A 26501-nucleotide genomic window follows, 5' to 3' on the forward strand; every position below is an offset into this window, starting at 1 on the left:
GCTCACTGCAACTTCCGCCTCCCAGGTTCAAGCAATTCTCCTGCCTCAGCCTCCCGAGTAGCCAGGACTACAGGTGTGCACCATCACGCCTGGCTAAGTTTTGTATTTTTAGTAGAGACAGGGTTTCACCATGTTAGTCAGGCTGGTCTCGAACTCCTGACCTCAAGTTATCCACCCGCCTTGGCCTCCCAAAGTGCTGGGATTACAGGCGTGAGCCACTGTGCCCGGCCGAGTTTTTCAATATAAATGTACTTTATTTGAGTTACAGAGAAGAGATATATAACTGGAAAAGACCTGGTTATTACTGTTACAGTAATTCAAAGATGAAGTAGGGAGATTGTCTCTGCCACTGTTTCAGTTTTATCCTGTTGCTTTCAAGTGGTTTGATGGGCTTGATAGACCGTGGGTCTGATGTTTGATACATGATGATTTGAAATCAGAAAGGTGTTTGGTGTTACTATCCTGCTCTTACATGACTTCAAAATTCAGACAATACTATTATTCAAATGAATAGACTTTGCACCTTCATAGGTTCCCCTATAAAGTCTAAACTTCAAGAATTTAGTCTCACAGCTTCAATGACAAAAAGAGAATTGAAGACACTTTAAAGTATCATACAATCATATTAACTTTGAACAAGGTGAACAAAAAAGAACTAAATTGCATATTTTGTTATTACCCATTTCAGAAGGTGAATTCCTGAGGCCACAAGAAAATGCTTCATGCCAACAGTGAGTATGAGATGTGGATGTGATGCCTGTTTGGACACAGGTTGGCTTGAAGAGTCACACAAAGCTGGTCATTGACTGAAACTAGAAATGGCTTTGGAGAGATTCATGGCCCTGAAAGCTCTCAGAGAGGGCATGCCACCCTGACAGCAGGGTTCAGGGAAAGCTGGCATGCAGTCCTCTGTCATCCTGAGCCTGTGACATTGACCAGGTCCCTTGGTCCACATGATATGCCCAAAATTAGGATCAGGTGATACCAGCTCCTCCTTGTGTGAAGCAAGTTATCATTGCTGCATCAGTTTCTTAGAGGTCTTCGACCAGGACCTGATTTTTGAGCTTCGGGTCACAGCTTAACCCTCTGTGGTGGTTGTGTCAACTTTCCAGGGTGTGGTACGCCTCATCTGCATCAGAACGCGTGACAAACCCCTGTGCTTAATCTCAGATCTGGGGCTCAGGTGGTTGGTCTCAGGATGAAAGAGCACTTGAGGGCACAGCTGAGTATGTGAGTGTGGTCTGGTGTGGTGGAGGTGTTCACTGGATCTTTAGACCTGCTCTGGGCAATGCTGGGAGTCTTGCTCTTCTATGAGCCATTGCATTTCACAGACTGTTTATGTTTTAGCCACCATATATAGATACTGTATGACGTTTGTGAATGCCTTTCTTCTGTTTTTGAAAATGGGAAATCATGCCTTATCAGCTCTCTCTCTCCCCATTTCTCATTTTTAGTTAGCAATAGTGTCTTGTATACTGCTATGTGAATTCATTAATTATTACCACTACCACTACTATTTATTAATGTATTTATTTTCCTCTGGTGTTGAAACTGAAACTGCTACTGCTAGTTCTAACTACTAAGCAATTATTCCTTGCTAGGAAATCTCAGCAGGAAAACTATAACTGCTCATATGAGAATTGTTCTTCCATATTGTCTTTAAACAGTCCTTAGATGTCCAGTCCAGTGCCTTACACCCATCCCCTTTTTAATAGCTGGAGCCTGAGGCCTGGAAGTGACTTGCTATGAGAAACATAAGTCAGTACAAGAGCTGACCAGCAAGTGAGGAATTGGAAGCAAGGGGTCTGAGATGGTTGCCATGGGTATTTCCTTCTAGATTGTATTACTGCGTGAGACCATTTTCCCACTGTGGGCATGTTTTCCTTGAGTCAATTTTCCAGGTACTCTATATTCAGCACTCTCCTCCTTCCTTTTCTTTAATTCCATTTTAGCCACACACAGGGGAATGGAAAGGGCCTGATTAAATCAACTATTTTTTTTTTTTTAACTTTTATCTTCTGAGGCCAGGCATGGTGGCTCATGCCTGTAATCCTAGGACTTTGGGAGGCCGAGGCGGGCGGATCACCTGAGGTCGGGAGTTGGAGACCAGCCTGACCAACATGGAGAAACCCCGTCTCTACTAAAAATACAAAATTAGCCGGGCATGGTGACATATGCCTGTAATCCCAGCTACTCGGGAGGCCAAGGCAGGAGAATCGCTTGAACCCAGGAGGCGGAGGTTGTGGCGAGCCATGATCGCGCTGTTGCACTCCAGCCTGGGCAACAAGAGCGAAACTCCATCTCAAAAAAAAAACAAAAGACAAAACAAACAAAAAAAAACCTTTTATCTTCTGATTTAATGTGGCAAATATGAGAAGAAATTGAAATGCCAACCAAAATGCCATTGTAGAGTTTATAATCCCATGTTTTTTGGCCGTCCCCTGTTACCTCTCCTAGATAAACAGGAGTTGAATGTCTTGTGTCCTGATTTTTATGGTCTCTTAGTTACTACAATAACAAGATCACTCAATCCCGTGGAGTCTGTCCTATTACAGAATATCAATGTTCACTCTGCTTTTTCTTTATTTCATCTATCAGCAGTGAATAGCACTTTCATGTTTAAGATGCTTCCTTTTAAAGTTGGAGAATAAGAATAAATGTATTGGACGGCTTTGTTTAGTAGCAGCATTGTCCTTTAGATCCACTGAGGAATCTTAAGAATGAAATCATCATAAATAGGCAAATAGGTAATGTTTCAGTAAATACTTGTGGCGACTATGTTTCCTTTTTAACCAAGAGCCCAGTAAAATTTGTAATTACTTCAACTGAATGAGAACACAAGGCCATTTCATGTCCTCAATCTTTGTTGATATGCTTTGCTTATTTTAATGGCTTGCATGCATTTTTTATTGTGCTGTTGATAATAGTTTTACATAATTCATAATGATACACAATAAAAGTTTCATTGCGTTCACATTCCTTTGTGGGTCTCCTCTGTTGCATGTTGATTGTGGTTTAATACTAAAACTGTAACAATGTACATCCAGTACTGTTTCATTTTCCTTGTTACTACAAGCTATGTGATAAACTTACTTTATTCTGTATATGTCATTTTCATTTTTTTCAACATAATTTCTTTATTATGAAAGAAGCCAATACTTAAGAAATTATCATGTATTATTTTCTTATTCTTTATTTTATAAAATCTATGAAAATTCTTTCCTTATTTCCACCTCAATAAGGAGTTTTAAATTGTGATTTGAGGGATTGTTGATTGACTGATTGATTGATTGATTGATTGAGACAGAGTCTCACTCTGTTGCCCAGGCTGGAGTGCAGTGGCATGATCTCGGCTCACTGCAACCTCTGCCTCCTGGGTTCAAGCGATTCTCCTGCCTCAGCCTCCTGAGTAGCTCGGACTATGGGTGCGCACCACCACACCCAGCTAATTTTGTATATTTTTGTTTGTTTGTTTTACAGATATGGGGTTTCACCATGTTGGCCAGGCTGGTCTCGAACTTCTGAGCTCAAGAGATCTGCCAGTCTCCGCCTCCCAAAGTGCTGGGATTACCGGTGTGAGCCACCATGCCCGGTCAAGGGATTGTTTATTATTTGATATTTAAAAAATTATGTCATGCAGTTTCCCATACTTTAAAAAAATTTTAAAGCCACTTTATTGAGATATAATTTGCATGCCATATATTTTATCCATTTAACATATACAATTCAGTGGTTTGCAGTGTATTCACAGAGTTGTATAATCATCATTACTGTCTAATTTTTTTATATTTAATTTTTAATTCTGGAAATGAACACAATGTCAAATTTATATTAACCGTTTTTTAAGAGTAAAGTTCAACTGTTAACTATTCACATTATTATACAACTCTAGGACAATCTCTAATCTCTAAAAGAATCTAGAACAATTTCTAGAACTTAAAATACTTTTAAGTTTGAATAAAGATTCAAACCTCTTGCTGTGGAACAAAAGGCCCAGGTGTAGCCTCTGCTATTCTCCCTCTTAGCAGATTGCTCATGAAAAAGAGTCAAACTCTGTAAAATATTTGAAGGTATTTATTCTGAGCCAAATATGAGTGACCAAGTCCTGAGACACAGTCTTAAGTCCTGAGAACATGTGCCCAGGGTGGATGGGTTATAGCTTGATTTTATATATTTTAGGGAGACAGAAGTTACAAACAGACATCAATCAAATACATGTAAGGTGTACATCGATTCTGCCGGGAAAGGCGGTACAACCTGAGGTGGGAGGGGGGCCCAAGTGTGTATCCAGCTGCCTGGAAGGCCGTGCCAGGTTACATGGCCAGCACCCTAGCTCAGGCTCTTTCCACATTCCTTGTCTTCTGTTTAAGCATGCTTTCTACCTCTAGGCCCTTTTTGTTGCATCACTTCTGCTGTGATTTGAATGTTTGTCCCCTACAAAATTCGTGTTGAAACTTAATCCCCAATGTGACAGTCTTGAAAGATGGGATGTTTAACAAGTGATTGGGTCTTGAGGGCTCTGCCCTCATGAATACATTAATCCATTAATAGGTCAATTAATTATCATGGGAGTCATACTGGTGGCTTCAAAAGAAGAGAAAGACCTGAGCCAGCATGCTAAGCCCCCTTACATGTGATGCCCCATGCCACCTCAGTTCTCTGCAGAGAGTTCCCACCAGCAAGAAGGCTTTCTCCAAATGAGGCCCCTTGAAGCTAGACTTCTTAGGTCCATAACTATTTTATTTTATTTATTTTTGAGACGAAGTTTTGCTCTTCTTGCCCAGGCTGCAGTGCAATGGCGTGATCTCGGCTTGCTGCAACCTCTGCCTCCCAGGCTCAGGCAATTCTCCTGCCTCAGCCTCCCAAGTAGCTGGGATTACAGGTGCATGCCACCACGCCCAGCTAAATTTTTGTGTTTTTAGTAGAGACAGGGTTTTACCATATTGGCCAGGCTGGTCTCGAACTCCTGACCTCAAGTGATCCACCTGCCTCAGCCTCCCAAAGTGCTGGGGTTACAGACGTGAGTCACTGCGCCCGGCCAAATTCCATAACTTTAAAAAACAAATTCCTTTTCTTTGTAAATTACCCAGGTTCAGGTATTCTGTTGTGAGCAACAGAAAACAGACTGAGACACCTTTCTGCACACTATTGACAAGATAATCTTTCTAAATTTTCTCATGGAATGATCATTTGCCTTTTCTGGCTCTTGAAAGTGAGATCCAATGCAACCTCTACTCTGAAGCATTTTCTGTGTAGTTAAGCTACAAATGATCTCTTTTTCCTTTAATTTCTTATAACATTTGCTGTTTTTATTTTTTAGTTATCAGGTAACAAATATTTTTGTGTTGTAGTTACTTTGTATTTATATTCATGCCTTAACTCATTGCACTCTTTGAGGATAGGGTCTGTCATTGCTCTTGCCTCAAGATAGCACAGTGCCTAGCATACAATAAGTGCTTAAACATTAAAAAGAAATGCATAGTAGTATTGACTTCTTTTTCTTTCTATGTTTAAGTGTATAAATTTTAACATGTGTATAGATTTGGGTAACCACCACCACAATCAGGATACAGAACACTAAATAACTTCCTGTGCTATCACTCTGGAGTCACACCCTCCCCTTCTCCTCCCCCTTGCCAATCACTGATCTATTCTTCATTACTGTAGTTCTGTTTTTTCCTAGGATGTCATATAAATTGAATCATACAGTATGTAGTCTTTTGAGGCTGGCTCCTTTTACTCAACCATAAGGACTTTGAGATTATCAAAGTTTGTTGCGTGTATCAGTTGTGGCTTCCTTTTTTATTGTTGAGTAATAGTCCATTATATGGATATAACACAGTTCGTTGCTGGACATTTGGGTTGTTTCCAGCTTTTGGCAATTATAAGAGCTATAAATATTTGTGTACAGGTTTAAGCAAGTGCTTTTTGAATGAACAGGTGAATAAATGATCAGTATAATTTCAACCATGTGGTTTTATGGACTGCTATACATAAGCAAAATTTGTGATAAGCCTCATTGGAGGCACATAGAGAAATGGACATATACATAATATTTATATATATTTTATGGATACACAAAGATTATATATAATGAATAGTTCTAAAATAGACATACAAACAATGTTTTTTTCAGATTTCAAAAATGGTGGGGTTACTTCTGGCTAGTTGTGGATGTGGGTAAGGTATCATCAACATTATTTGGATTCTGAAATCAAACAATTACTTCCCAAACTCAGAGGCTTGACACTACAAACCAAAGAAATGCATGAACCTGCCCAAAGATTTGTTTATTTTGTTATTTATATAGAATTAATTGACTATTTTTAAAATGCTTCCAAGAGGTCCAAAATGTCTGTTTATATCATTGGCAGAATTACTCCCCGTGATTCAGAAATACAAAACACTTTAAATATAGTTTTTAAAGATGTTGTCATTGTAGACATTCTCACAAATTTCAAATACAGCAAGAAATTCTCAAAAATTTCAAATAGAGCAAGACACTCTCAGAACATTCAAAGTAGTACAAAGTATTTTGACTTCCCCTTCTAGAAAAATGCATCCACTTTTAGGGAGAACTGAGTTTTGGACGTGGAATTAACTACAGACTAACTAAAAAGCATCAGGCAAGTTTTTTTAACCTCTTGAACCTCTGTTTTCTCATCTCTAAAATTGAGATTACTATTGGCCGCCAAGTAGGACAGTTACAGTTTCAAGAGATCATGTGTAAAATGGTTGTCATGGCTGGGCGCAGTGGCTCACGCCTGTAATCCCAGCAGTTTGGGAAGCCGAGGCTAGCAGATTACCTAAGGTCAGGAGTTCAAGACCAGCCTAGCCAACATGGTGAAATCCCATCTCTATAAAAATATAAAAATTAGCTGGACATGATGGCAGGGGTGCCTGTAATCTCAGCTACTTGGGAGGCTGAGGCAGGAGAATGGCTTGAACCCAGGAGGCAGAGGTTGCAGTGAGCCGAGATCACGTCACTGCACTCCAGCCTGGGGGACAGAGGAGACTCCGTCTCAAAAAAAAAAAAAAAGAAAAAAAATGCTTATCACATAATATTCGTTCAATAAACGCTCAATCCCTTCTTCTCCGAGCTTCAACTTGCTTATCTTTGAAATGCGGGAGTAAGAGTAGATGATTTCTAAAAATTTTTCTAGTTCCGGATTTATTTTATTTTCATTTTTTGTGATTGAGTGAGTTATGAACAGGTGTGTCTTCCAGGCACACAATTCTCTGAATTGGTAAGTAAAATATTGTGTCTCAATCCTCTTTTATACTCCAGTTTGACTTGCATTAGATAATTTAAAATAGAATTTTAATATTTTTTTCTGTTTCAAATTACTTTGGAGGCAATAAATTAGGTAGAGTGATCCAGGCTTTCTAATTAAGGAATATACTTGATGACAATGAAGGAATGATGACACTAAATGTCTAACCTTGAACTCAAAGATTCTCAATGGCTCTATAGAACTTTTTTTTTTTTTCCAGTCTGGTGTCCACCTTTACAATTCTTATGTATGTTCCTAAAGCACAGAGAAAATGAAAAAGTCACAGAACTCTAACCAAGGCATCAGACTGATGGTCAGGAGGAAATTTAGAACTGAGGGTTGAGCAATGAATATTGCTGGGATTAATTTCCACAAAGGGCCTCATTATCTCTCTGAAAGGCTCGTATTTGGTGGTAACAAACGTGCTTATTTTTAAAAGAAGGAAATATTTAGTTGGATTTCAGAAACTATAGGCCAATGGGCTTTACGTTAATCATTGTCAAAATTATAGAATGAATGATAAAACAAATAATCCGCTTATAGAAAAGTAGGACATTTTCCTACATAATTACAACACATTCAAGACACTCAGGGAATTTAACATTGTTATAATGTTACTTCCCTAATTGTCTTAATAATGTCCTTTTAACATTTTTCTTCTTCTTTTGAGAGGGAGTCTCACTCTGTCGCCCAGGCTGGAGTGTAGCGGCGTGATGTCGGCTCATTGCAACCTCCGCCTTCTGGGTTCAAGCAATTCTCCTGTCTCAGCCTCCCAAGTAGCCGGGATTACAGGCATCTGCCACCACGCCTGGCTAATTTTTGTATTTTTAGTAGATATGGTGTTTCACCATTTTGGCCAGGCTGGTCTTGAACTCCTGACCTCAGGTGATCCACCCGCCTCAGCCTCCCAAAGTGCTGGGATTACAGGCGTGAGCCACCATGCCCAGCTGCATTTTTCTTCTTTAGTACAGAATTTCTTTCTTTTGTTTTTACACAAAAAGTAACACATTCAATTCTTGCTTTTTTGTTATTTGAAACAAGGTCTTGATCTGTCACCCAGGCTGGAGGGCAGTGGCACAATCTCGGCTCACTGCAACCTAGACCTCCCAGGCTGAAGCGATTCTCCCAGCCTCTTGAGCAGCTGGTACTATAGATGTGCACCCCACACCTGACTAATTTTTGTATTTTCTGTAGAGACAGGATTTCCGCAGTTGCTCAGGCTGGTCTTGAATTCCTGGGCTCAAGCCATCCTACTGCCTTGGCCTGCCAGAGTGCTGGGATTACAGGCTTGAGACACCATGCCCGGTCTTTGTTTATTTTTTATTGTTATTGTTTAAAATTTTATCTTGGCAATAGCATTTTTTAAAAAAAGTTAAGATCTCTCCCTTCCTCTTAATATAAATAGTATCATATGTTACACTTTTTTGGGGGGATGGGGTGAGATTATTTTGTTTTTGTTATTGCTTAAAAATTTAGTCCTCACTCAGTGGCTCAGGCCTGTAATCCCAGCACTGTGGGAGGTTAAGGTGAGGATCACTTGAGCTCAGGAGTTAGAGACCAGCCTGGACAACATGGCAAAATCCCATCTCTACTGAAAATACAAAAAATTAGCTGGGCATGGTGGCCCATGTCTGTAGTCCCCAGCTACTCAGGTGGCTGAGGTGGGAGGATCACTTGAGCCCAGGAGTTGATGGCTGCAATGAGCCGTTATTGTGCCACTGCACTCCGGCCTGGGTAACAGAATGAGACCCTGTTTAAAAAAAAAAAAAATCTTGGCAGTTATTCTCTGTCTTTATATAAGAGCTTTATCATTTATTTTTAATTGTCAAATGGTATTCCAGTATATGGCTGTACCATAATTTATTTGATTGGGCTACAACTGATGGATATTTACACTATTTTCAATAGTTTAGGTTTACAAACAGTGCAGTGATAAATTACATCATATGTATTTCATTTTATACAAGAGCATGTCTATCTCTAGGATGAATTCCTGAAAAATTGCTAAGCATGCACATATATTTCCATAAATATTGTCACATTACGATGATAGGGTAATTGCCCTACATCAACAGTGTATGAGAATGCCTGTTTACCCAAAGCATTACCAACGCAGGACTTATCAAGCATTTTGTGATTTTAGGGCATTATTGATAGGTCCTCTATCTTCTAAAGATTTTTCTCTCAAGCTCATGGAAATGCCTGACTCCCTTTATTTAGTCTTACCACTCTTAAATCCATTCTTTATAGAGCTGCCCTTAATGATATTACCATCTTGCATAAAATCCTGTAATGGCATCTCTGTAGACTGGGAGAAGGACTCCTCAGTGTAGCTTAGTCAGGTTTTTGCTTGTATCTTTAACCTCATCCCTCACTATCCCCTCAATAATGGCCTCTCCCTCCCCAATTCTGCTCCAACCTTGTTCAACCACTAACAGTTTCCCCCTAATGCCCGATGTTTGTCTCATTGACAGCTTTTGCCAACTTGCTGTTCTTTCTTGGAATGCTTTGACCCTTTTTCATCTTACAGCCTTACCCAATCTGTTTTAAATTAAGTGCTCCTGTTGTGTGCTGCCTAACTTCCCAGGTTTACATTTTTCCCTGGATTTATCAGGGTTGATGTTGGCTGGTCTGCCTTTTCTACTGGACTGTAAATTCTTTAAGCTCTGAAATCTTGTCTTGTGCACCAGAGCATTCACAGAGTCTGGACCACAGAGGGCCTTTAAGAAATGTTACTTAAATAAATATAGTTCTCTATTAAAAACCAAATATTCTTAAGACAGATATCTGTTCATATTGTTTTGTCAGTGTAATTTATTTTGCTATGGTAAAATATATAAAACATTTAAAAAGGGGCATTAATTACATTAACAATGTTGTGCAACCATTACCACTATCTATCTGCAAAACTTTCTCATTACCCAAACAGAAACTCTGTCACCATTAAGCAATAACTTCTGATTCCCCTCTTCTTCCAGCCCCATGGCAACCTCTAGTCTATTTCTGTCTCTATGAATTTTCCTATTCAAGATATTTTATCTAATTAAAATTATATAATATGTGTCCTTTTAACATCTGGCTTATTTCACTTAGCATAATATTTTCAAGGTGCATCCACGTTATAGCATGTATCAAAACTGTATTTCTCTTTATGGATGAATAATATTCTTTTTCTTTTCTTTCTTTTTTTTTTTTTTTTTGAGATGGAGTATCCCTCTGTCACCCAGGCTGGGGTGCAGTGGCACGATCTTGGCTCACTGCAACCTCCTCCGTCTCCCCGGTTCAGGTGATTCTCCTGCCTCAGCCTCCTGAGCAGCTGGGATTACAGGTGCCCACCACCACACCCGGCTAATTTTTTGTATGTTTAGTAGAGATGGAGTTTCACCATGTTGGCCAGGGTGGTCTTGAACTCCTGACCTCAGGCGATCCACCTTCCTCGGCCTCCCAAAGTGCTGGGATTACAGAATGATATTTTACTATATGTGCATTCCACATTTTGTTTCCCTTTTCATCTGTTGGTGGACACATGTTTCCACCTTTTGACAGCATTATTGTGAATAATGCTGCAATGAATGTTGCTGTACAAGTACCTGGTCAAGTCCCTGTTTTAAATTCTGTTCGGTATATACCTACGAGTGGAATTCCTGGGCCATATGGTAATTCTCCGTTTAGCTTTTTTTTTTTTTTTTTGAGATAGAGTCTCGCTCTGTCACCAGGCTGGAGTGCAGTGGCGCGATCTCCGCTCACTGCAAGCCCCGCCTCCCGGGTTCACGCCATTCTCCTGGCTCAGCCTCCAGAGTAGCTGGGACTACAGGGGCCTGCCACCACGCCCGGCTAATTTTTTTGTATTTTTAGTAGAGACGGGGTTTCACCATGTTAGCCAGGATGGTCTTGCTCTCCTGACCTCGTGATCCACCCGCCTCGGCCTCCCCAAGTGCTGGGATTACAGGCGTGAGGCACCGCGCCCGGCCTCTGTTTAGCTTTTTAAAGGAACCACCAAATTGTTCCCCACAGCAGCTGCACCATTTTATATTCCTATCAGCAATGTAGGAGGGTTCCAGTTTCTCCACATTCTTGCCAACGCTTATTTTCCACTTTTAATTATAGACATCCTAGTAGATGTGAAACACTATTACACTATTACACTGTTTTAATTTGCATTTCTCTAATGACTAAAGGTAGTGAATATCTTTTTGGTACTCCTTGGCCATTTCCATATGTCTTTGGAGAAATAGCTATTCAAATGTTTTGCCCATTTAAATTGGGTTGTTTTTGTTGAGTTTTAGGAGTTTTAACATTATTTTGGATATAACCTTATCAGATATATGACTTGCAAATATTTTCTCCCATTCTGTGGGTTTTCTTTTCACTTTCTTGATAATGCCCCTTATGTGCAAAAATTTTATATTGATGAAGTCCAATATACCTGTTTTTTGTTTTGTGGCTTGTGTTTTTGGTGTCATATCTAAGACTCCATTATTAAATCCAAGGTCAAGATTTACTCCCGTGTTTTCTTCTGAAAGTTTTGTGGTTTTAGTCCTTATATCTAGGTTGTTCCATTTTAAGTTAACTTTTGTATATGGTATAATTTGGGGGTCCAACTTCATTCTTTTAGCTGTAGAAATATAGTTGTTACAGGCCATTTGTTGAAAAGCCTGTTCTTTCATTGTTGAGTGGACTTTATATCATTGTCAAAAACTAATTTGCCATACATATATGGGTTTATTTCTGATCTCTCAATACTATTCCATTGATCTGTATTCTACCCTTATGCCAGTACCATACTGTTTTAATCACTGTAGCTTTGTAGTGAGTTTTGAAATTGGAACATGCAAGTCCTTGACTTTGTTCATTTTAATATTATTTTGGCTATTTGGGGTTCATTAAAATTTCATATGAATTTGAGGATTGGCTTTTCCATTTTTCCCAAAAAGGCTGTTGAAATTTTTATAGGAATTACATTAATTTGTAGTTTGCTTAGTTGTATTGATATTTTGATAATTTTAAGCCTTTCTATTCATGAACATGAGGTGTTTTTCCATTTTTCCAAAAGGTAGTTTCTTTTCTTGTGATGGCTTTATTTGGCTTTGATATTGTCGGTAGAAGAGCTAAGGCAGGACTGGCTTGTCTGTCATAATATAAAAGAGTCTTGGAAGATGTCCAGGGTCCAGGGTCTAAAACCCCTGGTGGCCTTTGGAACACCAAGCTCTGTGCCAAAGGGTGGAAGGCTACCCTGCTGCACCACAAAATCTAAGCCCAGGGCATAAAACCCCTCGTAGCCTCTGGAAAGTGCACAGACTTGTTGGTTGCTCTCCCAGGCTAGTAAACATGTTCTCCGTTACCTGAAGCAGCAGAGCATGTTCTGTATGTGTTTATATGCGTCACTGCTATTTTTCTACCCCCACGTCTGCACATCCTCACCACCTGCTTTGTTTAATCACCAATAAACAGTGTGGGCTCCCAGAGCTCGGGGCCTTCGCGCCTCCATACCAGCATTGGCCCCCTGGAACCACCTTATGCACTCTTAACTTGTCTTTTCTCATTCCTTTGACTCTGCCAGATTTTGTAGCCCCCACGGCCTAGTGTTGGGTCTGATCACCTCAACAGATATCAGATAAGGTAATGGTGATCTCATAAGAAGTTAGGTAGTATTCCTCTCTCTTCTGTTTTTTAGAAAAATGTCAGAAGGATTGGTGTTAATTCTTTTTAAAATATTTGGTAAATCATCAAGTTTGGTACTTCACCAGTGATGCAATTTGGTCCTGAAATTTTCTTTATTAGGAGGTTTTCAATTACTAATCTGATCTTTCCTGTTACAGATCTGTTAAGATTTTCTAATTCATCTTGAGTCAGTTTAGGTAATTTGTGTGGAATTTGTTCATTTCTTGCAGGCTATCCAATTACTATATAATTATTCATAATATTATCCCTTTTATTTCTGTTAAGATAGTAGTATTGTTTCCATTTGTTTTTCAGATTTTATTTAATAGTTATTTGTGTCTTCTCTCTTTTTCCTTTGTCAGGTCTAGCTAAAATTTTGTCAATTTTGCTGATCTTTTCAAAAAACCAACTTTTGATTTTGTTGATTCTCTATTACCTTCTAGTTTCTATGTTATTTTTCTCCACTCTAATCTGTATTATTTCCTTCTTTCTAGTAACTTTGGGCTTAGTTTGTTCTTCTGCTTCTAGTTCATAAAGGTATAAAATTAAGTTATTGATTTGAGCTATTTTTTTAAATGTAGTTGGTTATAGCTATAAATATTCCTCTGAGCACTGCCTTTGCTGCATCCCATAAGTTTTTGTATACTGTCTTTCATTTTCATTTGTCTCTCAGTATTTTTAAAATTCCCTTGTGATTTCTTCTTTGATCTTTTGGTTATTTAAGAATGTGTAATTTAATTTCCATATATTTGTGAATTTTTCCCCTTAGATCCATACTGAATATATTTGTGAATTTAAAAATGTTTTTCTTTTATTATTTATTTCTAGCTTTATCTCATCTCATCGTTGTGACTGAAAAAGATACACTGTATAATCTCCATCTTTTAAAATTTATAGAAATTTGTTTTGTGGCATAACATATGCTCTATCCTGGAGTATGTTCCTTGTGCACTTGAGAATAATGTATATTCTGCTGTTGTTGGATGAAGTGTTGTATATAAGTCTGTTATATCTTGTTAGTTTATGTTGTTCAAGTTCTCTTTCTCCTTATTCATTTTCTGTCTAGATGCTCTATCCATTATTGAAAATGTATTGAAGTCTCCAACTATTATTGTTGAACTGCCTATTTCTCCCTTTAATTCTGTCAATATTTCTGTTGTCTGTTGTATATATGCTTATAACTGTTATATCTTCTTGATAAACTCTTTTTCATATAATGCCCTTCTTTGTGTCTTTTAATCAATTTTGATTTAAAGTCTATTTTGTCTAATTTTAGTATTGGTACCCCAGCTTTCTTTTGGTTACTATTTACATAGAATATTTTTTTCCATCCTTTTAATTTCAATCTTTGGATATTCTTGTAACAGGATGTAATTGGATCATGTTTTCTCGTCTGTTCTGCCTATCTCTGCCTTTTGATTGGAAAGTTTAGCCTATTTATATTTAAAATAATTGCTGGTAAGAAAGGACTTACTTTTGTCAGTTTGTCTTCTGTACATCTTATGCCTTTTTTGTCTTTCATTTTTTCCATTACTGCCTTCTTTTGTGATTAATTGATTTTTTTTTTTTTTGCAGATTATTTTTATTCCCTTCTCAGTTCCTTTTGTATATATATTTAAGATTTTTTTGTGGTTATTACAGGAACTACATTTAACATCCTAAAATTAAAAAACCAAAGCAAATAACTAAATTTATAACAATCTAATTAGATTGGATATCAACTTAACTCTAATAGCACACAACACTTGATTCCTATACAGCTCTGTCATCCCTCTCCTTATGCTTCTAGACACATAAAGATGTTATGACAAATTATACCTTGATGTGTCTAGAAGCATAGATTTATTATATTTTAATGCATTTTTCTTTCAAATTCTGTAGGAAATAAGTAGAGTTATAAACAAAAAATACAATAATAATCGCTTTAATATTTGCTCATGTATTTACCTTTACCAGAGGTCTTTATTTTTCTTGTATATGGCTTTGAGTTACTGTTTAGTGTTCTTTTGTTTCAATATGAAGGACTTCTTTAAATATTTTTGTAAGACAGGTCTAGTGGTAGCAAGCTGCCTCATCACTTGTTTATCTAAGAATGTGTTATTTTTATCCATCATTTTTGAAAAATTATTTGTTGGTTATAGAACTCTTAGTTGACAGTTATTTCCTTCATCACTTCACATATGTTATCCCACTGTCTTCTAGCCCAAACAGTTTTTGATAGTTTTTGAAATCAGCTGCTAATTTTGAGTCTCCCTTTTACGTGATGTGCTGCTTCTCTCTTGCTGCTTTTAAGATTATCTCTTTGTCTTTTGACCGTTTGATCATGATGTGTCTTGGTGTGGATCTCAGAGCTCATCTTACTTGGAGTTGGTTAAGCTTATTGGATTTGTAGATTCATGTGTTTCATCAAATTTGGGAAGTTTCAGCCATTATTTGAACAATAATATTGTTCAAATATTATTTTGCCCCTTTCTCTAGCTCCTCCTTTTCAAACTCTTCTGTTGTATATATTAGTCTTCTTGATGGTATCCCACAGGTCCCTTAGACTCTGTTCACTTTTTTTTTTCTTTTACTCAGACTCAGTATTTTCAATTGTCCTATTTTCAAATTTGGCCATTCTTTTTTCTGCCTACTCAAATCTGCTTTTGAACCTCTCTAGTGAATTTTAAAATTTTTTGTTCTTGTACTTTTCAGTCCAAATATTCTGTTTGGTTCCTTTATATAATTTCTACCTATTCATTGATATTCTTATTTTGCCCATATATTATTATCCTGATTTTCTTTTGTTCTGTATCTGTGTTTTCTCTTTGCTCTGTAAGCATACTTAAGACAGTTGTTTTAAAGTTTTTGTCAAGTAAGTCTGAGGTATGGGCTCCCACAGGTACAGTTTCTTTCAGTTTATTTTGTTCCTTTGAATGGGCTACAATTTCCTGTTTCCTGTATGCCTTGTGATTTTTTTTATTGTTGAAGGTTATAGTAGTCTGTTTGTTTAGTATTTTTTCCAAACTATTATTGAAAAGACTATATTTTTTATCATGTGAGGTCATAGAAGTCTTTGTTCCTTAGCTTATATTCAGCTAGTGTTCTGACTGAGATTTCCGTGAGTGCCAGGAACTAAAAACAAAACAAAACAAAGGGAGAGAAAGGGAAAACCACCTCTACTAATCTTTCCAGACTGCCTCTGTATATGTGCATGTGTGCCCTTCCTTCAACAGTTAGCCATCCTCACACTGAGTCTACAGATCAACTCAAGGTGAAAGTGTAGGGTCATCTTAGGTCTTTCTTCTGTATGTGTTTTGTCCTGGGTGTGTACATGGCTTTCTAAATTCCCAGTATACATGACTACTTTTGAATGTCCTGATTTCCTAAAGAAATTTTCCTCAGCCTTTGCCTTGGGCAACTTATTTTATGTTTTGACTATAATCTTTTGTCCCAGGCACCTGAAAGTTGTTAGTTGGGCTTGTAGTATTTGAGAGCATTGCTTTTTTGGCCTGATTTCTGAGGTAGAAAAAGAGATGTTTGCTTTCCATCACTCCTTCAGGTAGTCCCCAGACAGGTTAGAACAGACATACATGATTTGTGGATAATATCTGCTCTGCTCCACTCCCTCTTGAATCAGAGGAAAGCGTCCTACACTAAGAATGCAGGCAGCCCCTGCTTCAAGACCAAATCTGCTATAAAATCACCACAAACTTTCCTAACATTTTGTTGTGCTTTTTTTAATTCAGTTTTTGTTTGCTAGAGTTCTGAAAAAGTTGATTCTGATAGTTTATTCTTGTTTTTTAGAGTTTCTGTGGGAAATGAGAACTGCAGCTGCCAACTTCACCATTTTGCTGATGTCACTAAGTGCAAGTTTGACTTTTCAATTAGACCATCTATGCCTAAAGAGTAAGAGCTGTGGTTAATCTTCATAGTTGTGTTTTTCTCAGCATTTAGTGTACAACTTTATATAAAATTGAATTCAATGTATATTCAACTTGAACAGTGCTGTATTCATCATTTACTGTACATTCTAGTGTTAAGTCATATATACATTCATTCATTCAACAATATTTATTGACCTCTTGTATTCAAGGCATGCCCTAGCTGAGTTATAAGGGTGAATCATAGAGGTAAGATTTCATTCCTAAAGGAGTGAATATCTAAAGAAGGGAAGACAACAATAAATAACATTAACAAAGCAACAGGTTGGTTTGTGTTTCCTTGGAAAGATGGCTCTTTTGGTGCTGACTTCTTAGATAACAGAAGCTTCAGACTAGGCTCTGGGGAAGGATCTGAAAGCAATCCCTCTTCCTGGACTTGGTGGTTTGTGCTTGTAGTCCCAGTGACTCAGGAGGCTGAGGCAGAAGGATCACTTGAGCCCAGTAGTTTTGAGTCCAGTCTTGGCAACATAACAGGACACTGTCTCAAAAAAAAAAAAAAAAAGTAACCCCTCTCCTCTTTCTGACTTCTTCCTGTACCCTTTGGGTTTGGAGAAGAAACTGTGGACATTCAAGGAAGTGCTGAAGAGGGGACAGCTCCTAGTTCTCCAACTCTTTTGTTATTTGTTTGAAAATTCTGAAATCTAACTCTTGGCTCAACTCCCTTGTTTAGCTTTGGCTTTGAGGCGCCTGAAATTTATCCCCCAACTTCCCCTGCAACCTCTACTCTCTAAATTGAGGATTGCTTAATTCCTTATTTAATATTTCAAATGTGGATTGTTGTATCTTGAAAAATATTCTCTGGAGGCATAACATTTAATTAAGTTTCGTCAGGGTAATGGCAAGGAAATTAAATTACATATTGTTTTTGTCAGAGTAGTCAACTAGAGTGCCACTTGCATGTCAAGCCTTTTTCTCAACAAAGGTTTTAAGAATATTTATATGCTTGGAGAAGATTTTTGTTTTTGAGTTGATTGCCTTTCATATTCATATTATTCTACCACAGTCTACAAATAAAGGACAAAACAAAACATCAGAAAGCAAAATTGCCTTGATGAAAAAAAAATATAGTGCTATTTTAATCTTAACCTTAAAGTGTTTACCCCTGTGGGTAATGGTATCATCTGAAGGGAATATAAGTGCCACATGCTTACACTAAGTGAGTAAAAGAGTATCTGTGAAGTTATTCAAAAGGATAGAAGAGATGAAATTTTTTTTTTTTTTTTGGCACACAAACCCCATGAAGGTCAGTTAATAGCAGACAGTTGTGTCATTAAATAATTTTGGATTTAGTACTATTTTTTAGAAAATTCCTGATTTAAATTGAGAAAAAAGAAATAGCCCAGAGCAGTCTGAGCTATGTGAGGTGTGCAACATTTATAAGGCCTGGAGATTCATGAATATGGGACATAGGTCATCCCCCAGCCCCTACCCATGCCCAGGAGCAATTGTTTAAAGGCATTTCGTTCTTTTTTTTTTTTTTCCACGTAGTTTCCTGACTAGCTGACTCACCCATTATCTTCATGTTCCTGGAATTTGTGATACAAAGAAAAATGTATAGCCAATCTAGCTTATGTTATTTTAATGTAAAAACTTGGTAAACAACCTAGGACCTGCCTCTTCATTTTTCCTTTAACAGCCCACTTGTGGCCCGGTGCAATGGCTCATGCCTGTGATCCCAGCACTTCGGGAGGCTGAGGCCAGTGGATCACAAGGTCAAGAGATCGAGACCATTCTGGCCAACACGGTGAAGCCTTGTCTCTACTAAAAATACAAAAATTAGCTGGGCGTGGTGGCTCGTGCCTGTAGTCCCAGCTACTCAGGAGGCTGAGGCAGGAAAATCGCTTGAACCCAGGAGGTGGAGGTTGTAGTAAGCCGAGATCATGCCACTGCACTCCAGCCTTGTGACAGAGTGAGATTCCATCTCAAAAACAAACAAACAAACAAACAAACAAACAAACACCCACTTGTATACTTGTAGCTGCTGCTAATTAGAGCATATATTCTGGGAAACTTGAAACTATTCTCCCCAGTTGCAGTCCTCAAACTTGGTCCAATAAACTCTCTACTTGTATTAATTTTACCTCAGTTTATCCTTTAGGTCAACAAGATGAACAGTTGAATGAAGTCATAGAATAATTGCATACTTTTGTTGTTCATTTTGGCTAAGTTGCCCTTGCTCAAATGCTGAATGAAATGTATGGATAGCATGGCTAGTAGTGTCCTCTATCAGAAAAGCTAATTTATTTATTCATTCAATTCATTCATTTATTCAATCATACAACAAATATTTATGGAGTGCCTAGTGTATGGCAGATATTGGTGGTGAATAAAGCTGACATGTTTTTTCTATGTTTAACTGAGGTCTAGTTTAGGAGATAAACAATAAATAGGTAAAGAATATGAATTATGATATGTGGTATGCAGAAAGGAACCAGGGGCTCTGTTAGGGAATAACAGGATTTCTTCAGTTGAGATTGTCATTTGAGAAAAGGGAATGAAAATGAAACTTGATAAATGAAAATAAAATCCTAGGCCCCCCAAATGACTAAATGGACCCCCTCTTGGCCAACAGGATGCCAGAGTAACCTTGAAAACTGAGTTCTTGGTCATGATGGGATGGGAGATAGGACACGTCTTATTATACCCATCCCCTCACTAACCACCAACAGGCTTTCTTCCCTGAGGGCTAAACAGAAACCAGTTCTTTCAAAACATTTTACCTCTGATGTCACCCAGCTTCCTGAGGCTGCTCCCCCTTTTTGCAGTTTCAGCACAACAACTGACCAGCATTCCTTCCTGATAAGAGACCACCAACCACAGAGTAGTTCTGACCAGTCTACAGAGGATGAGTAGTGTGGATTTTCATGTCCTCTCTTCACCTTTTGACATCAGAGGGCTGAAAACTCCACCCTTGGATCATGCTAACACTGCCATTTTTTGTGCCTGGGTTCCATAGAGAGTCACGAAGCTCTGTGCATGTGCTTGTTTCTCCTTTCATAAATACTCATGACTCCTCCTCTAGCTTATTTTTATTTTTATTTTTGAGACAGAGTCTTGCTCTGACGCCCAGGCTGGAGCGCAGTGGAGCAATCTTGGCTCACTGCAAACTCCGTCTCCTGGGTTCAAGTGATTCTTCTGCCTCAGCCTCCCAAGTAGCTGGGATTATAGGTGCCCACCACCATGCCTGGCTAATTTTTATAATTTTAGTAGAGATGGGGTTTCACCATGTTGGCCAGGCTGGTCATCTCAAACTCCTGACCTCAGGTGATCCACCCGCCTTGGCCTCCCAAAGTGTTGGGATTAGAGGCATGAGCCACTGCATCCGGGCCTCCTCTAGCTTATTGAATATGTATATTTGGCCACCCTGTTCATCATAAATTCTTGTTCCCCTTGCCCTTCCCATGAAGTGTGTTTCTGGCTTCTGGCTGGGGGATACACTTTCCCAGACTGTTAGAAAGGCCACCCTGCAGGCTGCAAGCCTTTATATGTATAAAAAAAGCTCTCTTTTTCAAATTTATGAAACTCATGATTCTTCAGTTGACAGACTGGATGAGAAGGAACTCTCCAGGTAAGGCATATGGGATTTTGAAGCTTCCAGATCCAGGGGAAGGAACATGCCTTGAAGCTAGAAAAACCTTGCTTTGTTTAAGATATAGAAAGTAGGGCTGGAACAGAGTGAAGGAGGGAAAGACTTTCTAGGACAAAGTTAGAGAGGTAAGCTGAAGCCAAATAATCCAGGTCAGTGTCAATCCTTGATGATGGGATAAATACAGAAATTGAAAATAAGCTTGTAAAGCCTTTTAAATGATTTGACATAGTGGTTTGATAGCTCTTCAATCTAATGAAAAAATTGGACTTATATTTTGATGTCTTATTTCTGGTTTCATTTTTTCTAGTAATTCATTTTTATTTTATCTTATAAAAGTATCCATCAGAGAGGAATTGAAAATTGAAAAGAAAAAAAAAAAAAGAAAAACAAGCTGGTTCTTTACCATAGATAGTTTGAGAAGCATTGCTGTGAGATCTTATAAGTTCCAGTAAAGAGTTAGATTTTATTTTTAAGTTCAAAGGGAAGTCATAGAAAGTTTTAAGTTTTAAGATTCACTTGAATTGATTTATCCTTTAAAAAGACCACTATGGGGCTAGTTTGGCTAGCACACATGTCAAAAAGTGGACTCCTTTGGCAGATGAGGATATATTTCCTAGGCATTTTATTGACACATGAAAAGGAAAAGAGTAATAGAAAAAAAAGAATTAACGAGAACTGAAAGATTGCATCTTAGAAATTGTAAGAACTGATACCTCACCTGTTCCTACAGTCCAGTAAAAATTCTGTAAGCCTTTTTCTTTTTGAGCCATTTGGGGCTGGGATGGGGAGAAATGGAAACACATGTTAGATAAACAAATTACTTTTTGAAAGAGCTATGGCATTTGCTGGATGGAGAGTAGATTGAAGGTCTTCAAGGCAGGTATGGGGAGAGCTGTTAGGAAGACCATTACAAGGTCTGCTGTAGCTGGTACTAGGGTTGTGGCTATGAAAAAATGGGTAGTGGATGGATTCTAGATATATTTTGTTCATGGACTCACAGAACTTGTTAATATAGATTGGATATGGTAGAGTGAGGGAGAAGTAGACGTCAAGGAAAATTCTTGGGTGTCTGACTAAATAACTGAGTCTATGGTGATGCACCATTTACTGGTATAGGGAAGAGTTAGAGAGTAACAGATTTGGAGGGGAGGGGGTATGAGGAATAGTGTGGGCAAAGGGCAAAATCAAACAATGTATTTTCTACATCTTGAGTTTAAGGGTGTGAAATACACAAGTAGAGATGTCAAGTAGGCAGTTAGGTATATAACCTATATATACGTTGAGCTGTTAGGTGTGGTCTGGCCTCAAGATAGACATTGGCGGGGGTGATCAGTGTATGGGTGGCATAGATGGTGTTTAATGATATGAGAAGAGAATAGTTATTATGGGGCTTGAGGACTCCCAGTCTTTACAACAGATGTCAAGAAGGGCCAGCAAAGGGAATGTGGGTGGAGTAAACTGACAAAGAGGAGGGAGCAGGAACAGTGTAGAACCACTGAAACCAAGAGAGGAAAATGTTTAAAGAAAGAAAGAGGAATGTGGCCGGGTACAGTGGCTCATACCTGTAATCCCAGCACTTTGGGAGGCTAAGGTGGGTGGATCACCTGAAGTCAGGAGTTCAAGACAAGTCTGGCCAACACGGCAAAACCCCATCTCTACTAAAAATACAAAAATTAGCCAGGCATGGTGGCGCAGGCCTATATTTCCAGCTGCTTGGGAAGCTGAGGCAGGAGAATCACTTACACCTGGGAGACGGAGGTTGCAGTGAACTGAGATCACACTACTGCACTCCAGCCTGGGCGACAGAGTGAGACTCCATCTTAAAAAAAAAAAAAAAAAAAAAAAAAAAGACGGGAATGAAAACTTGTGTGAAAAGTTGCTGAAAGAAATAGTAAGATTAGCCCAGAGGATGGTAACTGTATTTGGCAATATCAAGGTCATTGGTGAGCTCATAATTTTCTAATTATTCTTCTGGTAAAGATGAAACACTTTCCCTGTGAGAATGATCTATGTGGAGATAGTAGTCTTTAGTTTTGTGACAGCCTCTTCCTTAGTGACTGAAGCCCTTCTCCAGCCTAATAGTACAACCATGCCCATAACTATCCCAATATTTAATCCCAATAATCCCAGTGATCTCTTACCTAATCATGGTGAATAAATGCTACTACGCTCAAGGTTCCTACCAGGCTTACTTTCCTTCTGCTTTCCAACACTGTACTTTGTGCACTGACTTTCCTATGCCCCCAAACCAATAGATGCCACACCTTATTATATCCAATTCCTGTATATCTCCATTTGTATGGCATGTTGGACTTTTTGCCTTAACACAAGTCTGCAGGATCTGTAAGCCATTCTTCAGTAATTATTATTCATCTCCAAAATTCTGCCGCATGGGTCTCTTGAACCTCAAAGCCATTCCATACCTGGGAAGGAATGGTTAATATATCACATACTAAAGGATTTTACATACATAGATTGTAAAAGAAGGCATGAAAACAAGAAGTGAATTTTATTTGGACTGTAAATTATATACCGTCCAAAGGACACTTGGACATCATGTAAACAACCTGTCCCTGACCGATAGTTGTGGGAATCCTTCTGTAACATCTCCACAAAATAGTTATCCAGACCCTGCTGCTACCTACCCCTCCAGGGAATGGAAAAATGCTACTTCCTGAGGCACCTCATTACATTTTTAATTAGCTCTAAGAGAAAGAGAATGTGTAGTTTTATTGTACCAAGACTTTCATACACTCCTCCAAGATTTTTTTTGTTACTTTGGAATTAAATCTGCCTTTTCGAGATGACAGCCCTTTAGATATTTGAAGACAATTTTGAAAGTCAGCCTACATCTTCTGTCCTTCATTTCAAAAACTGTGACCAGAAGATAATCTGGGTTACACCTCATCTCTCAAGGCTGGACACGCCGCCTCTCTCAGGTACTTGGATCACCAGTCATTTAACTTTATCCTATGGAAGTAGAGAGTGCTGGGTAGGGGCTGGGAAGAGAAGAAAGGGTTTAACTTAATATTTGAGAAAGCTCTTTCCCACCCTTTGCCTGATAGCTGTTGCTAGCGACAACTGGTATTGGGAATGCTTCATAACGGACTTCTTGAGCAATAGAGAGACAAGTTATTATTTAAAAAATGTTTCAACAAAGCTAGAATAGCAAAACTAGAATTCATATACCTCTGAAAAGCTATCATTAGCACTTATGGTGGTTATAATTATTGAAGAAACCAGGGAAAACATTCCTTGAAGAAATATAGAGTTAATAAAGATGACAAAAGTTCTATCAGGATATCAAAATATATACCTACTTTATGCTCCTATGCTGATTTTAGGAAACAAAAGCTTTATCTTTTGTTCTATGTTCTATTCAGTAATATCTCCAATGATTGTACTAGCTCACAGAGTACGGTGGTTAGTTACTATGTAAAACACTTACATAAGTGGTGGATTTAAGATGGCCACACATTTTTTACCCCGCTACCCAATTACAGGTAGAGTTTAATTCTCCTACCTGGCTTTTGCGACACGCATCACTAGTAGAATGCAGTGGAAGTGACACTCTGGGACTGAAGGCTTTGTTAAAAGAAGACTTCCAGCTTCTACTGAGGTCTCTTGGAACTCAGTTGCCAGACTTTCGGGGAACTTTAGCAGCCCTGTGGGAAGGTGCACTGGAGAGGAGCCAAGGGCTCTGACTGCCAGGCCTGGGTGATCTCCCAGCTGACAGCCAGCATCAATTGGCCGGTCATGGGAGTCAGCGTTCTTGGAAGTGGATCCCCAGCCTCAAAGAAATCAACTTAGTTGGTGCTTTGTGGAGCGGAAATGAATGCTCAGCCAAACCCTTACCAGATCCCTGACCCACAAAACCATAAGCAAAATAAAATTGCTGTTTTAAGCCACTAAGTTTTAGGGCTATTTGTAATGTAGTAACAAGTAAGCAGATGACATGCATTAACTTATTTAATTCTCACAATAACCCTATTAGAAAGACAGTATTATATATGCCATTTCACTGGTGATGAAACTGTTCAAAAGTTGTTAAGAAATTTGCCTAAAATCCTATAAGAAGATGTGAATTGAATGAAGGTCTGCCTGACTCTAGAGCCCCAATTTGAACTTTTGAGCTAAATTGTTAATGTAATTCTACTGTTTGGATGTCAGTTAAATGAGAAAGTAAATTTGTTTTAATTGAGCATATTGAATCTTTAGTTTTTCAGATGCCAAGATGCTTCTTTCACATCTTAGGATCATGGTGGTTTGTAAACAGATAAGAAAGTTTGGAGTTGCCCAGAAAGAAAGCATAGTCATGCTTCACCAATCCAGTGCTCACTTATCCATGTCAGCTCTTTAAGTCATGTCTGAGATCCCTGAGGTAAGCACAAAGAGGTCTGAGTGGAGAGAAATAAACAGAAATCACAACTTGCAAAACTGTTCTATAACTTGCAAAACAGACAAACTGTACCAAACCAGGACATGCAGGAAAAACTATCCAAACTAAGACCCTTTTAACATCAGCTCATCCAGGGCCCTATGTTCAAAATAAGACCACAGATTTGATTTTATAGTAACTGCACAAGGACTTGTGTCTTTTAAAGATAAGACCACTGATTGTTCCAAAAACTTATCAAGTTGACAGATTCTGACTAATCACTGCTCAGACCCTCCCCATCATCTTCTGCCCTAAATCCATGCTATGACAAACCCCAGTTCCCCAAACCCTGTAAGTATCCTCCCCTAATTACCCTAGTTTGAGATGTGCCACAGTTCTCATGGTGTGTGCTCTTCTTGCTGCAGGAAGCAAGTAAACCTAACCTCTTTTTGACCCCAGGTGTGTCTTGGTGATCCTTGGTGGGTAAGCTTTTATTAGCTTTTATTAATTTTTTTTTCCTAACCACTAGACAACCAGGGATGGATAATTTTTTTTTTTTTTTTTTTTGAGACAGAGTCTCGCTCTGTCACCCAGGCTGGAGTGCAGTGGTGCACTGTCTGCTCACTGCAACCTCTGCTTCCTGAGTTCAAGCGTCTCTGGCTCAGCCTCCCGAGTAGCTGGGATTACAGGCGCCTGCCACTATGCCTGGCTAATTTTTGTATTTTTAGTAGAGATAGGGTTTTCACCATGTTTGCCAGGCTGATCTTGAACTTCTGACCGCAGGTGATCTGCCTGCCTCGGCTTCCCAAAGTGCTGGGATTACAGGCATGAGCCATCACGCTCAGCCGGTTAATCCTTTATAGCAGAAAAAAGAAAAGCCTACCTTAGATGACAGAAAATTAAAAATGAGACATTATGCCTTGAAGAATGTGCTCATTTGCTAGGGCTGCCATGGCAAAATATCATAGACTGGGTGGCTTAAACAACAGGAATCTATGTTCTCACAGTTCTGGAGGCTGGAAGTTCACGGTCTGTCGGGGGTTGGCTGCTCCTGAGGGCTCTCTCCTGGGCTTGCAATAGTTGCCCTCTCATGGCGTCCTCATATGGTCCTTCCTCTGTGCTTGTGCATCCCTGGTGTCTTCGTGTGTGTTCCAATTTTTTTTTTTCTTTTAAGACCACCAATCAGGTTGGATTAGGGCTCATGATAATGACCTCATTTTAATGTAATCATCTCCACAAGGCCTTATCTCCAAATACAGTCACATTCTGAGGTACTCGGGGTTAGGGCTTCAACTTGTGAATTTGGGGGTGGGAAGGAGGCACAATTCAGCCAGTACAAGAACACATGGGGCTAATTGGGTGGGCATATGGGCAGGCATATGGGCCTGGGTTTGAGGATACTGAAGGGGTAGACTTACTTCGTGGATCTCTACTTCACATTGGTGAAGCCTTCTGCAGCTGTAGGATTGTGAACAACATATCAGGGTCGTGATAGAGACAGATTCCCTGAGCTGCCTCTATGAATGGATCATCTTGGATGTTTTTCCCACTGTGACACATGTACTAGCCAAGGTTCACCAGTACAACACACCACGGGCGGTTCCTGTCCCCCTCGGGCTAGCTCTAATTGTACCTTTGACTCTTGTTCTTCTCAGGTTCCTTTTCCCTAGGAGAGA

At 38.9% G+C, this 26501-nt stretch overlaps 1 long non-coding RNA gene across 1 annotated transcript; it reads left to right on the forward strand.

Moving 5' to 3' along the window:
- The first annotated feature begins 3533 nt into the window (after nt 1-3533).
- Nucleotides 3534-17119, forward strand: LOC105376090 (uncharacterized). The gene is made up of 2 exons (XR_001746731.3): nt 3534-3573; nt 16722-17119. It is a non-coding gene; the product is annotated as an uncharacterized LOC105376090 (long non-coding RNA).
- The last annotated feature ends 9382 nt before the right edge of the window (nt 17120-26501 follow it).

This window comes from Homo sapiens, chromosome 9 (genome assembly GCF_000001405.40).
Source record: "Homo sapiens chromosome 9, GRCh38.p14 Primary Assembly".
Classification (NCBI taxonomy): Eukaryota; Metazoa; Chordata; class Mammalia; order Primates; family Hominidae; genus Homo; species Homo sapiens.